Below are 25,802 nucleotides of genomic sequence, written 5' to 3' on the forward strand. Positions count from 1 at the left end.
GTTCCTAAAATGGTGTCACCATAGAAGGCTCTCAATAGTCATGTGTAGAATGAATGAATGAAATACAAAGGCAGCACTAAAACTTAGTGACAGTAGACAGTTTAAGATGGTAACAAGATGCAGCACCACAGAACTACACGATCCCGGAGAGCCCTCCGTGCTGCAGTCTGCACTCATGGAGCATGAATGAACAGAGTGTGGACACTGCCCCAGGAATTCTGTCATATAGGGCACCCTCTCCACCATCCCAAATGCATATGTGTCAGTTTTTCATGATTATCACATAAATGAAAAAACACAATTGGAAAGTTCTTGGAAAAGCTCTTAGAAAACTCACAGATACCCAAGAATATCCCTCTCTGAGATATAATGTCCAGAAGGGCAATGTTGCCCTGAGATTTTAAACCATGAAGAAGTGCTCACAGAACTCATGGAAGGTGGGTGTTTCCTTTGAACACAGTTTATTGGTAGCCGTGGGTACTATTTGCTACCACCTAGTTGTGTAACTTTAAGAGACAGAAAAATAAAATCCCCTACTCAATGTTCAGCATTCCAAGTTTGAAGTCGGCACAGTTTAGTGTCCAGAGTGGAATTTCATATTCTTCTTTCAACCATAACATACCTACCAATTAGCACAACCTACCGATTTGCTCATAAAGCCCCATTCATCCGCAGCATAACATAAAGCTGCTTTTGATGGGGAAACAGCAACATTTCAGCGTTTAGAATTAATGCCAGTTCTAAACATAGACTTAAGAATGTACATTTTTATTAACTACCCATTAAAAGCAACTCTTTCCATCCCCACATGGCACCACAGAACTACATGATCCCAGAAACTCCTTCACAAGAGGGTCTCCCCTATACAAGAAACAGGTTGGTATACAAGGCAAATTAAACTATTTACCTTATGCACTTAAGATAAAGATATTTTCTCTTAAGGAAGGATTTTCTTTGTAAGTGATGAAGGTGGTTGGGTGCAGTGGCTCATGCCTGCAATCCCAACACTTTGGGAGGCTGAAGTGGGTGGATCACCTGAGGTCAGGAGTTCGAGACCAGCCTGACCAATATGGTGAAACCCCGTCCTACTAAAAATACAAAAATTAGCCAGGTGTGGTGATGGGCATCTGTAGTCCCAGCTACTCGGGAGGCTGAGACAGGAGAATTGCTTGAACCCAGCAGGCAGAGGTTGCAATGAGTCAACATTGTGCCCCTGCACTCCAGCCTGGGTGACAGAGCAAGACTCTGTCTCAAAAAAGGAAAAGAAAATGATGAAGTTGTGTGGGAAGAGCCTGACTATATCGTAATTACTGTTTATTGTCTCCCTTCCCTCCCACTCTCCTGCTGCCAATATGTCCTAAGTTGTTAACTCCACAGCAGCCAGGGGTCTTTGTTTTGTTCACCAAAGTAGCTTCTGCACCTAGAACTTTGACCAGTGCTCGACAAATCCTTCTTGATGAATGAACTGGACCAGAAGGCAGCATAACTGCATAGCGTAGAGCAAATAGCCTATCAAAGATTTTTGTTGGAAATATAAGAATAGATTATTTCACCCACAAAACAAGAATACTTCTTAATATAGGTTATGAAATATATAGAATTATTCCTGGAAACATTTTCACAAAACCATCATCCTGTAGGGCTCACTTTCACCCATGCTTACTCCTCTGCTGGATTACCTTTTACTTTATGCTTCTCTTTCCTCTACCGTATCCATCTTCTCTGTAAGTTCAAATTCCTCCCATACCACGAAGACTGGCCCAAGGGCTATCCTCTCCATATAAGCCTTCTGCACATTAATTTCTCTCTCTTTTTGAATCCTTATGATAATTTATATTTTTCTTAAGACTCATCCCATTATCAATACTGCTATAGTTATTTTGGGGATATCTTAATGGTAAATACCATTGACCCACACATCTCAAACAGCAACAAAATAAACAAAACATATGAAACAAAAATTTTCAAGACACTTGGATATGAGGCAGTGAAGGACAGTGATTCCTGAGGGTTGGGAAACAAATGAGGTGAGCCCTCCTGAGACAGCGTCCAGGTCCCAGTGTGAGAAGGGAAGACTGAGGGATAGCCCAGTAGAAACGCTGAACAGGGGAGACATTGTACGGAGTCTGAGGAGACCAAGACAGAGTTCACAGGAAAGAGTTTGGGATCATTTATTATGGAGGCCTTAGAAAACTAATATGGAGAGGGTGCAGTTTGACCAGTAAAACTTGTTTCTGTGAAGAGTTGCTCCTCAGAGGGAATTTTCTTCAACTCTTTCTTAGCCAATGTAAAAATAAAGACCTTGAAAATAAAATGTAATGTCCACAGAGGACAGTGTGTCATTTTGGTGATGCAGAGTTAAGTGTTCCTGCAGTGTAGAAGGATTTAACTTTGCAAATTTTGGATTTTTTTTTTTAAGACAGGGTCTCCCTTTGTCACTCAGGCTGTAGTTCAGTGGCATGATCATGGCTAACTGTAGCCTCACCTCCTGGGCTCCAAGGATCCTCCCACCTCAGTCTCCCAAGTAGCTGGGATGATAGGAATGTGCCACCACACCTGGCTAATTTTTTTAATTTTTTATTTGTAGAGATAGGGGTCTCATTATGTGCCCCAACTGGTCTTGAACTCCTGAGCTCAAGTGATCCTCCCACCTCAGCTTCTCAAAGTGCTGACACGAGCTACTGTACCCACCCTGGAATTTTTTAAATGAATTGATTGAATATGATGGTTGTTCCCTGAGAATTAAGGTTTTTTGTTGTTGTTGTTTGTTTGTTTGTTTTTTACCTTTTAGAGATGAGGACTTGCTCTGTTGCCCAGGCTGGTCTTGAACTCCTAGCCTAAGGCGATCCTTCTATCTCAGCCTCCCAAACTGTTGGGGTTACAGGCGTGAGCCACTATGCCCAGCCAAGTCTTTTTTCTATTATGATTTATGATGAACACACAATAGAAACTTTTTCCTTTTATCAATTCCACAGTCAGATTTCCCCAGTTGTTTCCAAAATGTCCAATATGTAGCTTTGAATAAATGAATACAAATGTCCTGTAGTGAAACCACGGGACACAACTCATAATGCATGTTGCACAGTCATTTTTCAACTGTGCTGTAATATGAAGTTGTGGTTAAGAATTTATACAATCGGGATGAGTGAACCTTTCTAAGAATTGCTTTTGAAGAGAATCTGGGTAGCATATATCAAGGAACTTCAACATGTTCTTAACCTTGAGTCCACTTCTGCATATCTATCACAATAAAATCACTCTAAATTTAAAAAGAAAAAGTTATAAATGCAACAATGTTCATCATGGAATTGCTGAAAATAGCAAAATATTAGTAATGACAATTATGGAATGGCTTAAAAATACTATGACATAGGCCGGGCGTGGTGGCTTATGCCTGTAATCCCAGCACTTTGGGAGGCCGAGGCGGGCGGATCACAAGGTCAGGAGATCAAGACCATCCTGGCTAACACAGTGAAACCCCGTCTCTACTAAAAATACAAAAACAAAATTAGCCAGGCGTGGTGGCAGGTGCCTGTATTCCCAGCTACTTGGGAGGCTGAGGAGGGAGAATGGCGTGAACCTGGGAGGCGGAGCTTGCAGTGAGCCGAGATTGTGCCACTGCACTCCAGCCTGGGCTACAGAGTGAGATTCTGTCTCAAAAAAAAAATAAAAATATAAAATATAAAATAAAATAAAAAATAGAAATACTATGACATAAGGAATACCATGCAATCATCAAATATGATGTTTAAGAGGACTATATACTACCATGGAAAATAATCTTCTAATGATAATAGGTAAGAGCAGCCTGTGGCTGGGCACAGTGGCTCACACCTATAATCCCAGCACTTTGGGAAACTGAGGTGGGTGGATCACCTGAGGTCTGGAGTTTGAGACCAGCGTGGCCAACATGGTGAAACCCCGTCTCTACTAAAAATATAAATAATTAACCAAGCGTGGTGGTGTGTGCCTGTAGTCCCAGCTACTCGGGAGGCTGAAGCGGGAGAACAGCATGTACCCAGGTGGCAGAGGTTGCAGTGAGCCGAGATCATGCCACTGTACTCCAGTCTGGGCGACACAGCCCGAATCTGTCAAGAAAAAAAAGAAAGAAAGAAAGAAAGAAGGAAAGAAGGAAGGAAGGAAGGAAAGAAAGAAAGGAAAAGAAAGAAAGAAAGAAAGAAAGAAAGAAAGAAAGAAAGAAAGAAAGAAAGAAAGAAAGAGAAAAAGAAAGAGCAGCCTGCAAAATCTAACTTACAGAATGAGTAAAACAATGTTAAAACTATGCTGGAAAAATACTAAAACATTTGCTAACAGTAGATACTTAGGGTCACTGTTCTTCATTATTTTTATATAATTTTTTCTATTTTCCAAATGTTATTGTGATTATTTTGACTCCAGATATGAACAGGCCAAAGCCAATTTATTCACGTGTAATCACCGGCTTTTTAAAATTTTTGATTGGTATCAATAGCTATAAATACAACTTACCCTTGAACACCCCAGGCTTAAACTGTGCAGATCCACTTATACGTGGATTTTCTTCTGCCTCTGCCACCCCTGAGACAGGAAGACCAACCCCTCTTTTCCTCCTCCTCAGCCTGCTCAGTGTGAAGACAAGAGGATGAAGACTTATGATGATCCACTTTCACTTAATGAATGGTAAATATATTTTCTCTTCCTTATTATTTTCTTAATAACATTTTTCTTTTCTCTAACTTATGAGACTATAGTATATAATACATATACAAAATGTATGTTAATCAACTGTGTATGTTATTGGCAAAGCTTTCAGTCAAGAGTAGGCTGTTAGTAGTTATGTTTTTGGGCAGTAGGTACAAAGGTTATACATACCAACCTGTGCAAGATGGTGATATCCTGTCTCTACCAAAAAAAAAAATTTTTTTTTAATTAGCTGGGCATGGTGGTACGTGACGGTGGTCCCAGCTACTCAGGACGCTGAGGTGGGAGGATTGCGTGAGCTCAGAAGTTCAAGGATACAGTGAGCTCGGATCATGCCATTGCACTCCAGCCTGGGTGACAGAGAGATTCTGTGTCTATTAAAAAAAAAAAAAGTCATACATGGATTTTTGACTGTGTGGAGGTTGGCGCTCCTAACCCCGCATTGTTCAAAGGTCAACTACAGTTACGTGGAGCTGAGAGAGCTATAGGCTTTTTCCCCTCTCCTTCCTCTGCAGCTTGAACATCCTTGCTACCAAGTAACATGTTAAAATGAAAGGAAGCCTCAGACCAAATTCTGACATGTGCTCAGGCACTTATTAGAAAGATCCTAAAAGTGTTTATATAACTTGTTCTGCAAGCTGGATGAAGTCCCTACTTTCAGAAATATTAGGTGCTTTGCCACCCTTGCATGAAAGAAGCTGTGTGAATGAATCAGGACTCAGTTATCCATACAGTTGGCAGGAGGAAATTGGAAAACTTCCAATTATCAACTAGTCTCAAGAATGTTTAGGAATCATGCTTTTTGTACTATCATCCTTCCCACCTCCTTTTTTTTCTTTTTGGTACACTGGACAGGGTAACTTTAAAGTATTTTAGCCAATCTCACATCTTGACTTCCACTAATATTATAAATGAAAACTCATTTTTAATACTCTTGTTCTGCCTAGCAGAGGAAAAGGTAAACCCTCTCTGGTAGAAGATATCATCATCTGCACACTCTACCATTTTTTAAATAAACAATGTTCAGCATTCATTCAAAAATTCTTAGAAATATCAGGCTGGGCGCAGTGGCTCACATCTGTAATCCCAGCACTTTGGGAGGCTGAGGCAGGTGGATTACCTGAGGTCAGGAGTTCGAGAGCAGCCTGACCAACATGGCAAAACCCCATCTTTACTAAAAATACAAAAATTAACTGGGCATGGTGGTGGGTGCCTGTAATCCCAGCTACTCAGGAGGCTGAAGCAGAAGAATCTGGGAGGCAGAGTTTGCAGTGAGCCAAGATGGTGCCACTGCACTCCAGCCTGGGTGACAGAGCGAGACTGTCTCAAAAAATAAGTTCTCAGAAATACAAAAAATTTGCTAGGCATTGGTGGCGAATGCCTGTAATCCCAGCTACTCGGGAGGCTGAGGCAGGAGAATGGTTTGAATCTGGGAGGCGGAGGTTGCGGTGAGCCGAGATCATGCCATTGCACTCCAGCCTGGGCAACAAGAGCGAAACTCCATCTCAAAAAAAAAAAAAATCAAAATAAGCCAAGAGAGGGGGAAAAAAACCAAATAAACAATAGCAATAGATCCACAGGTGATCCAGATGTTGAAGTTAACAGACAACGTGGTTTAAAGTAACTATGATTAATACGTTCAAAAATAAATAAACAGGCAAGGTGCGGTGGCTCACGCCTGTAATCCCAGCACTTTGGGAGGCCCACGCAGGTGGATCATGAGGTCAGGGGATTGAGACCATCCTGGCCAACATCGTGAAACCCCATCTCTACTAAAAATACAAAAATTAGCTGGGTGTGGTGGCGCTCGCCTGTAATCTCAGCTACTCCGGACGCTGAGGCAGGAGAATTACTTGAACCTGGGAGGCAGAGATTGCAATAAGCCGAGACTGTGCCACTGCACTCCAGCCTGGCAACAGAGTGAGACTCTGTCTCAAAAAATAAATAAATAAAAATAAATAAATAAAAAGGGATAGCAGATAAAAAGATGGAGAATTTCTTACCCTTTATAGAACTGAAATCTAAAAAAGAATGAAGTTGAAATTCCAAAGCCAAAGTACATTACCATTATAACAGTATTACATTTTTAGAAAGTTCTTGCTGAGTGTGAGCTGAGACAACATATGTGTTCTTTTGTGGAGTCACAATCTTACTACTCCCTAGCTAGGAGCTAAGGAGGCTCCTAAACGCCTACAGCCACTGTGGAAGTTCAGACACTAGCAGTCACATACTGATGAACTGAAGCCATTGCAAGGAAGCTGTGAGGGTTACATGACATCCTCAGAGTGCATAGATGAGCCAGCAAAATGAGGTCTCCTTCCAAACTTGGGATTTAGCTACCATAGGCAGCAATGCTGTTATGTAATTTAAGGGAACTTGGCAATAAATGAAATAACAGTTAATCTATAATTTCTCCAAATCACTGATCCTTAAAGTCGGGTTCAGGCAAACCAGAGTATGTAGACAATCTCCTAGGTTTTAGGGAGGAAATGCTAAAACTTATGTTTACGTTTAACTCATGTTTGAAATGCCTATATATTTATTTTACACCATGTACTTACTATGTTGGTATTGTAGAATATATTAACTTACAAATAAATAGATATGCATCTTTTGGAAGTAAGTTTAAATTTTTTTTAAATTGCTGGCCAAAGTTTGGAGACCATTTTTTTCTAAACCTACATATTTATTTACTAAATTCCATGTTGCATCTACTAAATCATGAATAAAATCTTACCACAGTTGGTTAATATCTGAATTTGGAGTTGCATTTGTTTCCTCAGTTTTCTTCATCTATAAATCCTTGGCACTCAGCTGTTTTGTGAACTAGGCTAAAATGGCGATCTCATTTGCAGAAAATAAAATAGTTTTCTCAAAGTGAAGTTATTTCCCATACATTTTTATTAAACCTTTGCTTATTGTTATTATTTGTTTTCTAGTGTGTTGGTAACAATAAAACAGATGAATAAGTAGAGAATTAGTAATAAAAGAAACATCAAGATATAGTTTTTTTTATAGCTTGCCTGCTTTTTTTTATACAGATACATGCTCTTATTTGTGATTTTTTTATTGCAGATGTATAATATACTCATATATTTATTCTTACCTTTTTTGATGGAATTAAATTTATCAGGTAAAGGTTTGGTAAGGTCGCTCTGACTCCCAAGATATGGTGATGCCTGGAAAAACTTGTGAAGATTATTTTATTTTATGGCTTTGTTATCTGGTATCTGTTAATAGCACTTGGAAGAATAACAAATTATTTATGCACAAACAAACTGATAGTTGTAAAAGCAGATTTTGAGAGTAGATAAGGGAAGGAAGTAAAGGCCTGCGGCAGCTAAAGAAGTGAGAAAGTCCAGTAAAAGGTACAGAAAATAAACTTCCTCCTACCTCCCAGTTTTGCTGGAGGCAGACCCTGCAACTGAGAGTCTTAAGAGTTGGAAGAAAACTCAGAAGTCATCTAGCCCCACTGTGACTGAAGGGATTCTGAAAACATGGGACTTACAGTATTAAAACTGGGAAAGTCCCAGCAAACCAGGATGAGTTGGTCATGCCTCCTACCTTCCGCAAGAATACCTTTTGACATGATCACATATGCTATTATTGTTCCCAATTTACAGATGAGGTTGGGTGGTCAGCCAAACCTCTGTTAGAATATTCTCAGTGATGGGAAACTAGATAGTGGTTCTACTGGATGCTTCTGCCTCAGAATGAACTATTTTCCCCTCTCATTTACGCATTGGTCCTTTTTTTAATGAAAATCACATAGGACTTTTATTTGGTAAGTCTAGAAAATCAACTTGCTGAGAGGTCCAAAAAAAAAAAAAATCAAACAACAACCATACCCCTTCTTCCCTCCAACTCAAGTACATTCATTTCCCATCCAAGTATTAATCAGGCCTGACCCTGTCGAGCTTCCAAGATCAGATAAGGTCGGGTGTGTTCAGGGTGGTATGGCCATAGACTTCATATTCATTTCAGTTTAGCCCAGCACACAGTACCTGTGCTAGGCCCAGGAGGGGATCTGAAAAAGAGCATGGACAAATGAACAAATCTAGAAAGACTATTTGATAAATGTGTCTAAACATGGTAGCCCAAAATAGTGCCTCTTTGGGAATAAAAGTGTAATATGCAATGCATACAAGAAATAGAGGTGTGGATAACTAAATCCAGACTGTAGCAAGCTGTTTGCTATAGTCTAAGTTGCTGTAGTTTGTCCAATCACTCATACTTGACAAGTTAATTCAAATTGGCTTGATTATGTGGACATCTTCAGCTCAAAGAGTAAATGACAAATTTATTCAGAGACAAAATTACTGTAAAAATAGTATTACAAAGATAATTTTGAAGGCCGGACATGGTGGCTTTCACCTGTAATCCCAGCACTTTGGGAGGCTGAGGTGGGTGGATCCCTTGAGCCCAGGAGTTCAAGACAAGCCTGGGCAACATAGCGAAACCCTCTCTCTACTAAAAATACAAAAAATTAGCCAGGCATGATGGCATGTGCCTGTGGTCCCAGCTACATGGGAGGTTGAGGTGAGAGAATCACTGGCACCTGGGAAGTCAAGGCTGCAATGAGCCATGATCGCGGCACTGTACTCCAGCCTCAGCAACAGGAGTGAGATTCTGTCTCAATAAAAAATAAAAAAAATAAAAAAAATAAAAAGATAATATTGAGGGGGAGGAAGGAAAAACTCAAGGAAAGCCACAGTTACCATTACAATTATAATCCATATTCACTAACTATCATTACTAACAAGGATATAAAACCAGTTATGGTTAAATGTACTTAAGGTGTTAATTTAGCAGGTGTGCAATGACATTGCAATGTAGAATAAAACAGAAACCTGGAGTGATTTTTGCAATGCAAAGTAAAGAAGAGAGGCTACAATTAATATTAAAAATACAATTAATTTAGGTTGCTGTGGGCAATCACTTTACTTAATATTAGCCTGAAATGTACTTTAAGATAAAAATAATCTGGCTCTTCTTTCTTTCCTTTTTTTGGATTAGGTTTCCGCAGAGGCCAAATATACCAGATGACTGTGAAATTTTCACTTTAATTTGCATGCGTAAGTATAGTCTTGGATATTAGAAATGAGAAAAAATGAAATGTAACTGATCAAGTGTAAGGGAATACATCCTGATTAAGAGAATAGAATCAATTTTCGGAAATCTAGGAGTAAATGCTCTGTGTCAATAGAAACAAATTTAAGCTTACATCATGGCCAGCAGATTTTAAAAATTTCTACTGATAATTCTATAACATAAGTTTAACCTGCTTTCTGACTTTTTTAATGCAAAAGGTTGTTTAATTGACTTGTCTAAATCTGTCAGGTATTTTGGAGGTTCATATGCATGAACTTGACATTAAAAGCCAAAACCAGACAACAGCATGCTATGCACATGGGAAGTAAATAGATAGCATATGATTTTTGTATTTGGCTTCGAATCATTTAAAGTGATGGTTATCACTAGTGCCAGGTATTTTTGATATCATGTAATTTTTCGAAGTGATATCTAGATGTGGCTCTGGTTCCTGAAATCTTAGCCAGTTATGGACCAAAAAATGCAGTTTTAAAATAAAGTAATAAAATTAGCATAGTTTTTTTTTTTTTTTTGGACAGAGTTTCACTTTGTCCCCCAGGCTGAAGTGAGTGCAGTAGCGCAATCTCGGCTCACTGCAAGCTCTGCCTCCCGGGTTCACGCCATTCTCCTGCCTCAGCCTCCCGAGTAGCTGGGATTACAGGCGTCCACCACCACGCCTGGCTAATTTTTTGTATTTTTAGTAGAGACGGGGTTTCACCATGTTAGCCAGGTTGGTCTCGATCTCCTGACCTCGTGATCCGCCCACCTCGGCCTCTCAAAGTGTTGGGATTACAGGCGTGAGCCACCACGCCCGGCCAATATTTTACATATGCAGAATATTTTAGACAAAGGATTTTTATTTTGATTAAAAGTGCTATACAAATAAAAAATAAAAATAAAACCTCTTGGGTTTGAGTGTCAAGAAATTAAAAAATGTATACCATTACATTTCCACACTATTTAAAGTGCAACTGACAAACTGCCCCATCTTAGAGTATTTTCCCAAGAGTAAAGAGGGTGAGTACCAGAGTAAAGAATAAATAGAGTAATTAAAGAAAGTGGGTAATATTGTTACCTTTCATGATTAGTTAGCCTAAGAAGCAAGAGAGCTGGCCGAACTTTAGAGGGTTCCTTAAAATAAATTTCTGGTCTTTTTGTTGAACACATCTGATCTATCTGTTGTCTCTAAGATTTTTTTTTTAATCTCATCCATCTTCCTCTGGTCTTGTCTCCTGATATTTTAGCAGTGTAAGGGAGAGGCTATGTTCACTTCTCTACTTCTTTCCAAAGAAATTTTCTTTTTTCTTTTTCTTTGAAAATAAGAAAACATCTTTCATTGGCTGGGGCAGGGTTTTAGGGTGGAGAAAGCATTAGGTTGCTTTCAGATTTTTTATACAAGGCTCCGATTGTTTTATTTTTTATATTATTATTATTATTATTATTTTGGAGACAGAGTCTCACTCTGTTGCCCAGGCTGGAGTGCAGTGGCATGATCTTGGCTCACTGCAACCTCCGCCTCCCAGATTCAAGTGATTCTCCTGCCTCAGCCTCCGGAGTTTCTGGGCTTACAGGCATGTGCCATCACGCCTGTCTAATTTTTGTGTTTTTAGTAGAGACAGGGTTTCACCATGTTGGCCAGGCTGGTCTCCTATTCCTGACCTCAGGTGATCCATCCGCCTCAGCCTCCCAAAGTGCTGGGATTACAGGAGTGAGCCACCACGCCCCACCTGATTATTTTATTTTGTATTCTTGCTTTTAGAATTATTCCGTATATCAACACAGCTGGTCTTATTACAATAATTTTGATATTTTAAACAAATCAGTGATGCTAAGGAACGTCACTGAGTGTTGACATGTCTGTGAAAGCCTTTATATGGAAACTAAGATATCTTTGTTAGGAATGGGGAAACAAAGGTAAATGTGATAATAATGTATCATAATGTCTCAACTTAGTCATTGTGAATCTCTCACTGTCAGATTAAGATGTACATGCAGTGTATGTTAATTACGGAAATGCATTCTGCCTTATACATGCAGAATTATATCTTAGAGAACTTCTCCCCAAGCTTTTTGCTAACCAAATCATCTTTTCAACTATATACAGGTCTTTGAAAGTCCATCTCTTCAATATTTTATGACAGAGTGTGTTGACTTGAAGAAGTTAGAAATGGCAAATTCCCTTCCAAACCTGTTTTTCTGCTCTTACTATATCTCTAAACTAAACATGTTGGATTTGCACTTATTCGGGTCTAGGTAAGTCACTAAATAAGGATAATCAGTTATGTAGGATGTTATTCATGAGTATAGAATATTGACCAATTCAAAAACCCAACCAGTGAACATGGATGAGATTTTTTAAATAAAAACCAACAAGTCAGAACAGTTATTTCTTGTGTTTAAATTTCAGATGAACTCTGAAAATTGTTTACAAAAGTAGATTCTTAAATTTATAACAAAGTATAAAACTAAAGACTATGACAGCCAATATAAGCATATATCCCTTCCAAATATCACAAACAAGAAACAAAACAGAAATACTTTTAAAGAACTTTTAAAGTTCTTCGCTGATATACTGGTTTCTTATTCAGCTCAGATATTTTATCAGACTAAGATATATACTTTAACCAAATATATAAACCGATATAAGAGGAATTTAGGAGCATATTGCTTTTGACATAGTTATTATAAGTTAATGGTCATTTCACTACTATTATCCATTCCAAAGGTGCTTACACCTTTAGAAACAAACTTTTTTTTTTTTTTTGAGACACAGTCTTGCTCTGTCACCCAGGCTGGAGTGCAGTGGTGCGATCTCGGCTCGCTGCAACCTCCGCCTCTCAGGTTCAAGCAATTCTCCTGCTTCAGCCTCCTGAGTAGCTGGGACTACAGGCGCGTGCCACCACACCAGGCTAACTTTTTGTATTTCTAGTAGAGATGGGGTTTCACCGTGTTAGCCAGGATAGTCTCAATCTCTTGACTTCATGATCCGCCTGCCCCGGCCTCCCAAAGTGCTGGGATTACAGGTGTGAGCCACCGTGCCCGGCCAGAAACAAACTTTCAAGGAAGCTCACCACGTGCTGGTGGCCAAATCTTAACTTTTGCCCCTGAGTTAAATCTTAGTATTCTTTGTGTCTGTGTTTGTAAAATGTAAGATTTGGAATTTCTTTTCATGTAATTGATTTTTCATTCCTTTATACAACACTCAATATTCATGAACATGTACCATGTGCCAAATGCAGCACAATTTGTACTAGATTAAAATTCAGAGGACTAAAATTAACCACAACAATAACAAATTACTTAACCTTAAAGGCCTCCATTTAATAACAGAGAGGAAAGATATGGACAAGGTGTTCTGCTCAGCATTTTTGGTATGCATATCACTCAATCTTCACAACAACCATATGTAAAAGGCATAAGTGTAACCCATTGTACAGATGAAGTAACTTAATAACTTGCCAAAGAGCACCCAGTTAGGGAAAGGCAGGATCAGAAATACAGCCCAGCACTGTTTACTCTAAACCTGGTTGTTAATGACCTTCCTGGTGCTGCATCTCACAGGGAAGAGACCGTGAGCTCAGGGGGTGGAGGGAGCTGGTGTTACCAAGGAGGTGGTATTTCAAGTGGTTCTCTAAATAACCCGTTATCAGGCAGTTGACGCAGGAAAGAATGTTGGTCAGGGAAGTGGAGCACAGAGAAGTGTATTACAGGCAGGTTGTGTGGAGCAGGTCCAAAAGTGTGAAAGAGAATAGCATGTTTGCCAAAATGCTGGTGCTATTAAGGTAGGCAGAAGTGCCCTTGCAGAAGGCCTGAATACCATCTAGATTCCATCCTTTAGTTAGACACTGGGATAAAAGTAGGAGTGCAGTAGGGGTGGGGCCTTAAATAATTTTATGCAAGGAACGAGTTATCGGATTTGTGCTTTAAAAGGTAACTGGTAGAGAAGTGTGGAAAGTGGATGGAAGGAGGCAGTGGTGGTGCTTGCCGTGGTGCAAATAGAGGCAGGGAGCCCACTGCCTTGTTCTCTATGAATGATGATCAGGCTATCACCAAAGGCTGAGAGAAGTGGCGGCCTGAGTCTTGATGTACAGTGGAATATAGAGAGGAAAGGAGGTACATGATGCTCAGATTTCTGAATTAGGGAACTGGAAGGATGGTGCCCATTCCTTGATGGAACTCTAAAAGGAACAGATGAGGGTGAAGAGGTAATGCATTCCATTCTGCATGTGATGAGCTTGGTGATTGTGTGCCATTCCACTGGGTGATTATCAAGAGGTAGTTAGGCATATCTGGGGTGTCATTATTTCATTAACGGTCCCACTCAAGAGCCCCCCCCTTATCCGTGCTCTGCCTGTTTTTTTTTGTGTGTGTGTGTGAGGCAGAATCTCACTGCTACACCCAGGCTGGAGTGCAATGGTGCAATATCGGCTCACTGCAACCTCCACCTCCTAGGTTCAAGCAGTTCTCCTACCCCAGCCTCCCGAGTAGCTGGGACTACAGGTGCGTGCCACCATGCCCGGCTGATTTTTGTATTTTTAGTAGAGACAGGGTTTCACCATATTGGCCAGGCTGGTCTCAAACTCCTGACCTCAAGTGATCTGCCTGCCTCAGCCTCCCAAGGAGTGCTGGGATTACAGGCGTGAGTCACTGCGCCAGGCCTGCCCTGCCTGTCTTATCAGTCACCAAGGCCTGTCACTTCTGCCTCCCCTCCCTTCCTTCCTCCCTTCCTTCTCTCCTTCCTTCACTCCTTCCTTCCCTTTATTTTTCTCTCTCTGCCTCTTTCTTCCCTTCTTCCCCTTCTCCCCGCCTCCCTCCCTCCTTCCCTTCCCCCTCTCCCTCTTTCTTTCTTTCTTCCTTCCTTTTCTCTTTCTTCTTTCTTTCTCTCCCTTTCTTTCTTTCTTTCCCCTTCCTTTCTCTCCCCTTCCCCTTTTTCTCTTCCTCCTTCTTTCCTTTCTTTTTCTTCTTTCTCTCTCTCCTTCCTTCTTTCTTCTTTCTTCCTTTCTTTTCTTTCTCTATCTTTCCTTTCTCTCGCTCCCCTTCCCTTCCCCTTTTCCTTCCTTCCTTCCTTCCTTCCTTCCTTCCTTCCTTCCTTCCTCCCTCCTCCCTCCTCCCTCCCTCCCTTCCTTCCTCTCTCTTTCTCTCTTTCTTTCGACAAGGTCTCACCCTGGAGTGACTGGCACAATAACAGCTCACTAAAGCCTCAAACTCTCAGGCTCCAGTGATCCTCCAACCTCAGCCTCCTGAGTAGCTGGTAGTACAGGCACACACCACCACACCCAGCTAATTTTTAAAATCTTTTTGTACAGACAAGGTCTCCTTGTGTTGCCTGTGCTGTTCTCAAACTCCTAGACTCAAGTGATTCTCCCACCTCGGCCTCCCAAAGTTTTGGGATTACAGGCGTGAGCCATCTACTTCCTTAATATTTCTTAAATCTCCACTTAAATAAATCTCTGAGTTGGTCATTTGGATTGGTGTGTGCAATGCCCCATAACTATGAACACCTTAGCGTTTCTAGTAGGCCCTTCAAAATGACTCAGGCCTGTATCTTTAGCTTTGTCTGTATCCACACCACTCTGCAGAGGCTGCACTCCAGCTATACTGAAGCAGCCACAGTTTGCAAGAGATTATGCTTACTCACTTCTGTTTTGAAGTGTTTTGAAGCACAAAGGCATGTGTACAGTCCCCACCACATGCCAGGATGCACACCAGGAGAGGCAATGATATAGGGCTGACTTCCCAGGAGCGCCTAGTAGAAAATTAGAAGATTGTGACTTAGCGGAGTCATATTCATGTCCATTCATTGAAGTTCATTGACAGCAAAAAGCCAGGCCTCCGGATGTTCATTTAAATTAAGTAGTCAATATCCTAATTCAGTGACTCGCAGAGAATCTGGTGGGTTATTTAATCATCACATAAAATAGGTGGTTCATGTACTCATGTTGAGGCAGGAGACTAGGTTCTGGAGGCAGGGAAACTAAGGACTTCCTTGAACTACATTGAAAGGAAAACCCTAACTTTCCACGCCTAAGTAACAAAAGGACCAGAGGCTACCTTTGACCTTTTCTGCCTAGTAGATGGGAAATTGGCTGTCTGTAACCAATCAGACTGACTGCGGGTCCAATCTTCATTTGCAACTTTGTAACTTCACTCCAGCCTCTGAATGGTTGTTGTCCACAACTAATCAGACTGTGGGCGAGTCTTCGTTTGCATAGAAGCATAACTTCATTAAGTACATCCCAGCCTCTGATTGGTTGTTTTTTGCAACCAATCAGATGTTTGCACAGGAGTGTTACCTTTGTATCTTCATTTCAGCCTCTGGTTGGCTGCTTTCTGCAACCAGTCAGACTGATTGCGGGCTACCACTTCATTTACGTGAGATGAGCATGAGTTGCCAAAGGGAAACTTCTTGGGGGTATTTGGACCCAAGAAGATTCTGTATTCGGCCTTTGAGCCGCTGCTCCGCCCGCTCCCACAATGTAGAGTGTACTTTCGTTTTCAATAAATCCCTGCTTTCGTTCTTTTGTCGCTTCTCTGGGTGTTTTGTCCAATTCTTTGTTCAAAACGCCAAGAACCTGGACAACCTGCAGTCACGATCCTTTACTGGTGACAATATTGTTTTATTTTACTGAGATTCCATGTATCAGTGTTAGACACAAAAATCATTTGGTCATGTGCTGCCATAAATAACTATAAAGAAAGTCTATGTGTGCCAATTTCACTTATTCTGGCCTGGATCTCACTGTAGTAGATCAAATGTGAGGAAGAAACAGTAGCCGAGAGAGGCTGGAATTAGTAAAAATTTAAGAGTAGTTCCATCCATTATGTATGCCGTAATAGGCCCTATATGTGAAAAGTTAAAGGAGCTTATTTAATTATGAAGGAAACTATTATACAAGTAAGCAAAACAATTTATAATAAAATATTCTTTATGCTCAGAATTTTAAAAATAGATGTAGACTGGAAAACCTGCAATTTCCTCATTACCATCTAATACATAGAAAGTCAAATCACTTACGGACAGAAACAGACTTGAAAATTTCAGCTGAGAAAACATTTTAGAATAAAAGAAACATTTTATTCAGCACAGTCAAAACAAAACAAAAACAACAAAACAATGTTTAAAATGGACTTTCTGTTAGAGGTGGCCGTTTCACAGTCAAAATTATCCCAGAGAATTGTTTATATTAAAAACAGGCTGAGAATAGTTTGACCTCTGATCACCAAAAAACCTGGAGGATAAACATTCATCTGTCAAGATTTCTCTGGAAAATCCCTGCGCTGCTTCAAAGAGACAGAACAAAGGTAAATAGCATCTGCCACCCAAATCTTGCTGAATAGAGTGATTTATCTTCAGGCCTACTAGCCGGCGACAGGAGCGCACCTCCTCCCTTCTCCTAGCTGTCCCGGGTTTATTCATTCCCTGAGCCTGAATCCTGATAAGGGAGCAGAGTAGGGTTTAAGACCTCGGACCCCAGAATACACCACTGCAATTGAATTTTGGTTCCACCTTAAGGTAAACTACGCAGCTGCTGTGAGCCTCAGTTTCCCTACCTATAGAAAGAGGATCGTAGTGGGGAATTGTTGCAGGGGTTAAATGAGATTGTACGGATCGTGGAGCAGCGCCTGGCGTGTGGTAAACGCTCAACTTATGCGGGTTGTAACTGCCTGAGGCGTTTCCTTCGGCGCGCCACTTGGCCTTCTCTTTCTAAATATTAGCATAATAAATATAAATGGACCCAGAACGCGAGGGGGCAGGGGCCACGTGATCGCTCCACGAAAGCCACTTGTAGGGACCTTTAGAGAGTTAGCAATAAGGCTGGAGAAGGAAAAGCCGGCGCGCCCGCGGCCCGCGCGATTTCCCGCCGAGCCCGCGTCCCCGGCGGCGGGCGGGCTCCGGGGGCGCCCGGGCCGCGGCGGCGGCGGCGGCGCGAGCTGCGCCTCCGGGCCGGTGAATCATCCCGGCAGACACCAAGAGCCGCGGCAGCAGAGAGGAGCGCTGAAACATGGCTGAAGCGGCCACGGGCTTTCTGGAGCAGCTCAAGTCCTGCATAGTTTGGTCTTGGACGTATCTGTGGACCGTGTGGTTCTTCATCGTGCTATTCCTGGTCTACATCCTGCGGGTGCCTTTGAAAATCAACGACAACTTGAGCACAGGTAAGGCCTGGGAGCCGGGCCCGCGGCGCCCACCCCTCCCCCGCCCCGGAAAGTTAGTGCAACTCGCGCGGGGCCGCGGCCAGGCGCGCGCTCGGGGACGCGCCGGGGCCCGCGCACCGGAGGCCCGCGGCTACCCGCCAGCAACGCGGCGGCTTAGGCGGCGGGGCCGGGCAGCTGGGCGCGCGGGGGCGGCCGGTGGCCTTCACGGCCCCGCGGAGGAAGAGCTGCGCCGCGCACAGCCCGCAAGGCGGGCCGGGCCGGGCCGGCAGCCGCCCTGCTGCGTCGCTGGTGGTCGGGAGACGGAGAAGAACGGGTGTCGCGGGCGAAGGAGTTCCCAGGACACCCCCTCGGGTGTCTGCGCCGGAACTCCGAGGGTTCCCCGGAGTTAGACCGAGTCCTTCCTCACGCCCTCCCGGCTGTGGGTGCCAAGCGGCCGAAGTGTGGTCGGGGAGGCGCCCTCCCGCCCGGCCGCGGAGGCCCGAGGGCGGCTGCCGGAGGGTGCTCGGCGGCGAAGCCCCCTGACCCGGCCGGGCTGTCCGGGCGGCGCCCTCCGTGGCCCGGAGTTGCGTCTTGCCGGGCGTGGGGCTGTCTCTCTGGTTGGGTAGTGGGGAGAGGGGTTCCCGAAGGCACTCTTGGGAGTGTATGGATGACGTGTCAGGTCACCAAATGGATTGTCGAAGGGACCGGAGGGAAGAGGGGAGAGCTGGAATTTCTGAGGGTTTCGGTTGCAGTTTTCAGTGATCTTTGCTCGTCTCCCTTCCCTGTAAAGCTACATATGCTCAGCAAGTGCCGCGTGCCTCCCATCCTTGGTCGGTGGTAAATGCAGGAGGTAATTAACAGGATCTTCACAAACTTGGAGCCAGCCCACTGAGTCGTTAAAAAAACACCCGCAAAGAAAACACACGAGCCTTAACACTCCAGAGAGTTCCGAAACACAAAGTAAATTTCGAGCTAAGGGTTACAGTCCTTTAAATCTGGAAATTTCAAGGTAGAGTGTTTTTGTTTTTGTTTTAAATTTTAATTTCACAGTACTGGGAAATTCTTACAGTCCTGAAGATATATACATATGTACACATATATATCTTCCCTTGTTAATCTCCATACTCTGGGAGTGCAAGTCTGGAAATGCATTTTCCTCAGGTGTTTAGCTGCATTAAAACGCTTTTTAAAACGCTTGAGATAATGTACTCATTTTGTTAGGAAACTTGTACCTTTCAGATACTAACTTAAGTATTTTGATTACTAACTTGAACTCATGTTCATATTTACATTTGTTTTGTAGTATCCCTCGGGATCGTGTCCCTGGGAGGCGGATAGGATTCAGCACTCTAGAATTGTCTCACCATTTGAATAGGTGCTGCTCAGCCCTTTTGAGTCTGTCATCGGAAAGACCATGGCTTTCTCGCTTTTCATCTTTTTGGATGGCTGCTTGTCGCAATATTGTCTTCTTCGCTTTAGACAAGTATGTCTCCAGGATACCTTCTGGTCTCAAAGTTCTATACCTTTAAGAAGTTGTTTGAATATATGTTTTAATGGAATTACGTATTTGTTGGTAACAGTGTTAGTCTGTTTTGTGCTGCTGTAACAGAATACCACAGATTGGGTAATTTTTAAAGAACACATTTTATTTCTTGTAGTTCAGGAGTCAGGGAAGTCTTGAGATCAAGGGACTGGCATGTGGGGAGGTCCTTCTTGCTGTCATCCCTTGGTGGAAGGTGGAAGGGTAAGAGAACATGAGAAAACAAGAGGGGGCCCACTTTCACTTTTATAACAAACCTACTCCCTCAATAACAAAATTAATTCATTCTTGAAGGCAGAGCCTTCATGACCTAATTACCACTCACAGGTCCCACCTTTCAACACTTTTGCACTTGGGATTTTCAAACACACTAGTTTTTAAAATATTAATGTTTCTCCTTATTACACACTTAAAATTTTATTTCATGATATACATTTGTATATCACATTTTCATCAGGTTAAATAATTACCCATGTATATATGTGTAAGTGTCACATCCAGTGCTCTGTGCAGATCAGGCAAGAAGCAAAATATCTACTGGGAAAATGTGTACTTCTTAAGGAAGGGCATTGTTAGGTCTTCTAGCAATTTAAATCTAGCATTTCTCAGAGATGCCTTTGTTAATTTGTGTAGGGGCAGTTCTAAGAGATAGCGAAAATATGAAGATGAACGTGCCATCCGGGCTGTACCTTGCTAGACACATGATAGAAGACCTGATGATGCTGGACTTTTCAGTTTGGTTTCATGCTCATTTCAGTCATAAAGAAAGATAAAAGGGGAAGCACACAGAGAGCACTCACCTCTCTGCTGTTTTTATGAGAGGGTAGCAGGATCTGGGGTGGGAGGAGGACTTTGGCATTAATTTTGAGACATGAAATTATAGCCACAAACCACCCTAGAACAGTTTAGGTTTTTCAAAAAACAGTTGCAGACATTAGAGGCCTATTTTCTTCCCTTTTAAGTAACAGTGAGAAGTTATAGTAGGAAAACTGCCAAAAGGTTGTTGTCAACTTAATTCCCTCCTTTCCTTGCCAATTCCCCTCCCCTTTGGGAAAAAGTTTCTGTACTGAAGTTATTGGCAAGGAAGGCCCAGGGAGAAAGAAGTCATTAGCCAGCACCCCTGAGAGGGGAGGCAGGAGCTAGCCTGGTCTAACTTGTCCTTGCAGGGAGGTCTAAAAGAGTTCTAACGGGACTAACTTTGCTGTTCTTCAGCCCTGTGGTGCTTACTCTTCCTGTGATGAAGGCAAGTGTGTTCCTGGAGAGGTTACTGAATCTGGAGCTGCTTTTAGGGAGTTGCAGATGGCGCAGGCCTCCCTTCCTCCTCAAGGAAGCCAAAGACACCATCACAATCAGGCAGCCAGGAGCCAGGGCTTCCATAGGCCCAGCTCTGTACCTGTAGGGGGATGGAATCTGCTAAAAGTGTTCTGGAGTCATTCTTGGATATCTGCTTGGTATCTTCTCAATATCTTGACCATCTGTGACAATTTTAATCCTCATTTGATCATATTTTATGGTAAATGAGCTTAACTCGATTTTTTTTTAATTTAGATGCCTCCTAATGTACTATAACAGGTGCTATGATAAGAAAGATGAATGAGTTTGTAAAACCCAGGGTAAATAAGGAGTTTACTACAAGAATACAACTTCCCATATGCAAGATGGGGCTGGGCAAGGCTGTGAGAGCTTCTCTTGAATTGAGCCTAAGAGGATGAGGAGAATTCCATGATTGAGGACTCAGAGGTGGACCTCCCAAACAAAGGGACAAAGTTGTGAAAGTGCAGGTCAGATTCAGAGAAGAGCTAATCGTGGAATTTAATTTAAAATAATAAAAGAAAAGGACTTTGATGAACAACCATACCGTTTTTAGCTCTTACATCGTGTAGTTTTCCAAGTAAAAATGCTTTGAATGCTGTTTTTGAGGTATACTACTTCCCTACTCCCACCAGCTTGGCTCGTGTGACCTTCGTTGCATTGAGCCAGTGCCATTTAGGGTAGGGATATAGTTCAAAGAATTCCACAGTATTCTCTTAGACCATACAGAGAAACCTTAACATTGGCAATCACATCTTGTAATGAAAATGAATTTTAAAAAAGAAAGGGGAGAAAACGAACATAATAGGAATAGTACATAGTGGCTAGCTTTGATAATAGTTTTTTTTTTTGTTTGTTTTTTAAGAGAGTCTTAGTATGTTACCTAGGTTGGGCTTGAACTCCTGGGCTTAAGGGATCCTCCCACCTCAGCCTCCCTAGTAGCGAGTACTACAGGTGTGTGCCACCATGCCCAGCTGCTGGTAACTGATTTTTGAGGCTCTGCTCTTGATTTGGATACAATAGTGTTAAAATAGTTTTATGATTTACTGAAAATAGAATGAAATTTTAACAAGGTTTTTAAAAGACCCCAAATAATATTACTTGTCAGTTTTCAAGTGAATTAATATCATAAAGCAATACTTTTCCAAAGGGCAGAAAATTAATTGTAGATTGGCACAGTCATGCAGGATATTATTAAAATAGGTGAGTCTTAAAAAATAGTACCATAACTTATACAGTGGTGTTGATGGCACTTTCTCATCTACCCTATGTTATAAAGTTTTTTGCTGCTGAATTTAAACACCTTTTCCTAAAACGGGCAACTTTGCTGTTTTTGCAAAAAGCAGCATAAGTGATTTTCCAATTCTTTTTCTATTTGCTGAAAAGCAAGTTTTCAAAGATCTTTGAAATCCGTTTTCATTCCTTTTGGAAAACAAATGTAATAGCCTGATCTAGGCTTAAAGTTATTTATTTACTTATGTTTGAGACAAGGTTTCACTCTGTCACCCAGGCTGGAGTGCAGTGGTGCAGTCACAGCTCACTGCAGCCTCAACCTGCAGGCTCAAGCAATCCTCCTGTCTCAGCCTGCCACCTCAGTCTTAGTAGCTGAGACTACAGGTGCACACCACAGTGCGTGGCTAATTTTTTTTTTTTTTTTTTTTTTTTGTAGAGACAGGGTCCCCTGTGTTCTTGAACTCCTGGGCTCAAGCAGTCCTACTGCCTCCACCTCCCAAAGTGCTGGGATTCCAGGTGTGAGCCACCGTGCCTGGTCAAGTTATTTAGAAGACTTTTTTTTGTGTTAATTAAGCTCATGAATACAGATGTAAAACTCTTATATTGTTGACGTGATATAGAACTTAGGCTGCAGCTCAGTTTTGGCATTTTTTCATGTTGAGAATTTTTGCTCTAAATTTACTTAACATTTAGATTTTAATTTACTTAAAATTTACATAAAATTGGATTTCCCTTCTAGAGGGTCTGGTTGCAGTTTACATAGGTCTTTTGCCCCTGTTGTGCCTGTTGTCTAAAATGTTCTTCCCTATCTGTAAATCCCACCCATCTATCAAGGACCAGCTGGCATGCTGCCTTCTGATCCTTTCAGCTGCAGAAAAGACAGGCTTACCTTGGAGATATTGCAAGTTTGGTTCCCGGCCACTGCAATAAAGTGAGTCCCATGAAATTTTTGGTTTCCCAGTGCATATAAAAGTTATAGTCACACTATATTGTATTATATTAAGAGTGCAGTAGCATTATATCTAAAAGACCAATGTATATACCTTAATTTAAAAATCCTTTATTGCTAAAAAAAAAAATGCTATCTGAGCCTCAGGAAGTCATAATCTTTTTGCTGGTAGAGAGTCTTGCCTTGATGTTTATGGCTGCTGACTGATCAGGGTGCTGGTTGTTAAAGGTTGGGGTAGCTGTGGCAATTTCTTCAAATAAGACAACCGTAAAGTTTGCCACATGGATTGGTTTTCCTTTCCAGAGAAAGATTTCTCTGTATCATGTGATGCTGTCTGATAGCATTTTACCCACAGTAGGACTTTCAGAATTGGAGTCAATTTTATCACCCTGCCACGGCTTTATCAATGAAGTTTATGTAATATTCTAAATCCTTTGTTGTCATTTCAGCAATGTTCACAGCATCTTCACCAGGAGTAGATTCTATCTCAAAACACTTTCTTTGCTCATCAAAAGAAACAGCTCTTTATCCGTTCAAGTTTTACAAGGAATTACAACAATTCAGTCACATCTTAAAGCTTCAGTTCTAATTCTAGTTATTTTGCTGTTTATGGCATGCCTGCAGTTACTTTATCTTATATGAATTATGGTATATGTGTGTGATATATGTGGGTCAGTGTTTGTGTATATATGCATCTTTTTTTGTATATGTATGTTTTATTACTTCTTCTAGATTCTAGTTCTTCATCTTCCAGTGTTAATTCCTTGTACAAAGTAGGTCCTTATCATTCACTGGATGAATGAATATCCAAGTTACGGTGTATTTAGTGAGCTGGGATTGGAACAATACAATTGATCAAATGCATTACTGAGTATGTGCCCCATCTAAGTTTGCAGCTTTAGATTGTGGTCAGAGGCTGTTACAAGATCTTATATATTCTATGATGGGCCATATGCATCTAAAGCATGGTGGTTCAGTTTATGAATATATAAAAGGACAATTTTTTGATTAATGTCAGCTTTGAGTTTAGAATGTATCCCAGACATCTTAGTTGCCCTTAATTATTTTTGGAGATATTTTTCTCAGCCATTAATAAAGCAATCCGAATGATGCATTTTTCTCTGAGCTTGAGTTTTTGTATATGTAAAATAATGGCTTTACATTCATTAAGTTTCCTTCTAGCTCTGGGATTCTGTGTCTTACGATGAATTTCATTGAGTGCAAAGTGTAGCACCAAGATAATACATGGACTTAATGAGTATACATGTTTTTTACAGTTTGGACTCTTAATACTTAGTGAATACAAGTCCAGATTTTGTATGACTTCCTGCAGTGGCTTCCATTGCATTGAAAATACAATCTAAGTGTATTACCTTCATTTACAAAGTTTGATGCTATGGCTCTTTCTTACCCCTCAAATCTGAACTTCCACCTCTCTTTTTCTAGATCACCACCCTCCAAATACGCTGGGATTCTTTTTTTTTTGTTTTGTTTTTTTGTTTTTAAGACAGAGTCTCGCTCTGTTGCCCAGGCTGGAGTGCAGGGACGGGATCTCAGCTGACTGCAACCTCTGCCTCCTGGGTTCAGGTGATTCTCATGCCTCACCCTCCCAAGTAGCTGGGATTACAGGTGCATGCCATCATGTCCGGCTAAGTTTTGTATTTTTAGTAGAGACAGAGTTCGCCATCTTGTCCAGACTGGTCTCAAACTTCAGGCCTCTAGTGATCTGTCCCCCTCGGCCTCCCAGAGTGCTGGAATTCTAGGCGTGAGCCACTGCAGACACATAAAATTGTGCTGAAGTATTTCTAATCACTTCGAGTTACAATTCTGTTAAGTTTCATTTTGCCTGCCAATATTATTCTGAAAAATTTCCCAACCAAATCTTTCTTGTACTACTGTGTCATTGCTCACAGACAATTTTTTTCCACATTGGTAGAACCCTGAACTCCATTCATACAGATAATATGAGGTACTTAACTTGTACATTTGTTTAAGTTCCTTATTGATGCTGGATATTAGATCTTTGTCAGATGCAAAGTTTCCAAAAATTGTCTCCATTCTGTAGGTTTTCTGTTGACTCTGTTGATAGTTTCTGTTGCTGTGCAGAGGCTCTTTAGTTTAGATTTTATTTGTCAATTTTTGCTTTTATTGTAGTTGCTTTTGGTGTCTTCATCATGAAATCTTTGCCCATTCCTGTGTCCTGAATGGTATTATGTAGGTTGTGTTGCAGGGTTTTTATAGTTTTTGGTTTTACATTTAAGTCTCTAATCCATCTTCAGTTGTATATGGTGTAAAGAAGGGGTCCACTTTCAATCTTTTGCATATGGCTAGCCAGATATCCCAGCACCATTTATTGAATAGGCAATCCTTCTCCCATTGCTTGTTTTGTCAGATTTGTCGAAGATCAGATAGTTGTAGGTGTGCAGCATTATTTCTGGGTTCTCTGTTCTGTTCCATTGGTCTATGTGTCTGTTTTTGTACCAGTATCATGCTGTTTTGGTTACTGTAGCCCTGTAGTGTAGTTTGAAGATGAGTAGCGAGTAGCATGATGCCTCCAGCTTTGTTCTTTTGCTTAGGATTGCTTTGGCTATTTGGGCTATTTTTTGGTTCCATATGAATTTTGAAACAGTTTTTTCTAATTCTGTGATGAATGTCAGTGGTAGTTTAATAGGAATATCATTGAAATTGTAAATTGCTTTGGGCAGTATGGGCATTTTAATGATATTGATTCTTCCTATCCGTGAGCATGGGATGTTTTTCCATTTGCTTGTGTCATCTCTGATCTCTTTGAGCAGTGTTTTATAGTTCTTCGTGTAGTGATCCTTCACCTCCATGGTTAGCTGTATTCCTACGTGTGTGTGTGTG

The 25,802-nt window shown here is 41.4% G+C and overlaps 1 protein-coding gene, 3 long non-coding RNA genes and 1 pseudogene across 13 annotated transcripts in view, besides 7 other annotated features; 3 read left to right on the plus strand and 2 right to left on the minus strand.

Moving 5' to 3' along the window:
* Nucleotides 1-4,572: 4,572 nt before the first annotated feature.
* LOC105375465 (uncharacterized) lies at nt 4,573-12,151 on the plus strand. The gene is made up of 3 exons (XR_927895.3): nt 4,573-4,659; nt 9,697-9,755; nt 11,876-12,151. It is a non-coding gene; the product is annotated as an uncharacterized LOC105375465 (long non-coding RNA).
* On the minus strand, nt 8,520-8,648 carry RNA5SP239 (RNA, 5S ribosomal pseudogene 239; annotated as a pseudogene).
* Nucleotides 14,292-14,617: a transcriptional cis regulatory region, noted in NCBI's record as "candidate enhancer chr7.4218 targeted for multiplex CRISPR interference". NCBI's record gives its function as "positively regulates ST7 gene expression in K562 cells {active_cell/tissue: K562}" and the evidence as "EXISTENCE:mutant phenotype evidence [ECO:0000015][PMID:30612741]".
* On the minus strand, nt 16,680-18,568 carry ST7-AS1 (ST7 antisense RNA 1). Its single transcript, NR_002330.1, has one exon. It is a non-coding gene; the product is annotated as an ST7 antisense RNA 1 (long non-coding RNA).
* Nucleotides 17,281-17,390: an enhancer, noted in NCBI's record as "active region_26539". NCBI's record gives its function as "activates an Ori minimal core promoter by ATAC-STARR-seq in GM12878 lymphoblastoid cells {active_cell/tissue: GM12878}" and the evidence as "EXISTENCE:reporter gene assay evidence [ECO:0000049][PMID:35858748]".
* Nucleotides 17,651-17,720: a silencer, noted in NCBI's record as "silent region_18564". NCBI's record gives its function as "represses an Ori minimal core promoter by ATAC-STARR-seq in GM12878 lymphoblastoid cells {active_cell/tissue: GM12878}" and the evidence as "EXISTENCE:reporter gene assay evidence [ECO:0000049][PMID:35858748]".
* ST7 (suppression of tumorigenicity 7) overlaps nt 17,735-25,802 on the plus strand; it is a 276,676-nt gene continuing 268,608 nt past the window's right edge. For all 10 annotated transcript variants that reach the window (NR_161420.1, NR_161421.1, NR_161422.1 and 7 more), the window contains exon 1: nt 17,735-17,925. Coding sequence is in view for 5 of the 10 variants with exons in the window: in NM_001369598.1 (NP_001356527.1) it covers nt 17,775-17,925 (151 nt within the window). In the remaining 5 variants the exon portion in view is untranslated. The remainder of the gene's footprint in view (nt 17,926-25,802) is intronic.
* Nucleotides 17,806-18,729: an enhancer, noted in NCBI's record as "H3K27ac hESC enhancer chr7:116593626-116594549 (GRCh37/hg19 assembly coordinates)". NCBI's record gives its function as "activates a minimal SCP1, AML or CMV promoter by ChIP-STARR-seq in naive H9 embryonic stem cells {active_cell/tissue: H9 hESC(naive)}" and the evidence as "EXISTENCE:reporter gene assay evidence [ECO:0000049][PMID:30033119]".
* Nucleotides 17,931-18,130: a silencer, noted in NCBI's record as "silent region_18565". NCBI's record gives its function as "represses an Ori minimal core promoter by ATAC-STARR-seq in GM12878 lymphoblastoid cells {active_cell/tissue: GM12878}" and the evidence as "EXISTENCE:reporter gene assay evidence [ECO:0000049][PMID:35858748]".
* ST7-OT4 (ST7 overlapping transcript 4) lies at nt 18,082-24,051 on the plus strand. The gene is made up of 5 exons (NR_002329.2): nt 18,082-18,343; nt 18,695-18,913; nt 19,208-19,387; nt 20,657-20,957; nt 23,387-24,051. It is a non-coding gene; the product is annotated as an ST7 overlapping transcript 4 (long non-coding RNA).
* Nucleotides 18,191-18,490: a silencer, noted in NCBI's record as "silent region_18566". NCBI's record gives its function as "represses an Ori minimal core promoter by ATAC-STARR-seq in GM12878 lymphoblastoid cells {active_cell/tissue: GM12878}" and the evidence as "EXISTENCE:reporter gene assay evidence [ECO:0000049][PMID:35858748]".
* Nucleotides 20,088-20,347: a silencer, noted in NCBI's record as "silent region_18567". NCBI's record gives its function as "represses an Ori minimal core promoter by ATAC-STARR-seq in GM12878 lymphoblastoid cells {active_cell/tissue: GM12878}" and the evidence as "EXISTENCE:reporter gene assay evidence [ECO:0000049][PMID:35858748]".

This window comes from Homo sapiens, chromosome 7, assembly GCF_000001405.40.
Source record: "Homo sapiens chromosome 7, GRCh38.p14 Primary Assembly".
NCBI classification, from domain to species: domain Eukaryota; kingdom Metazoa; phylum Chordata; class Mammalia; order Primates; family Hominidae; genus Homo; species Homo sapiens.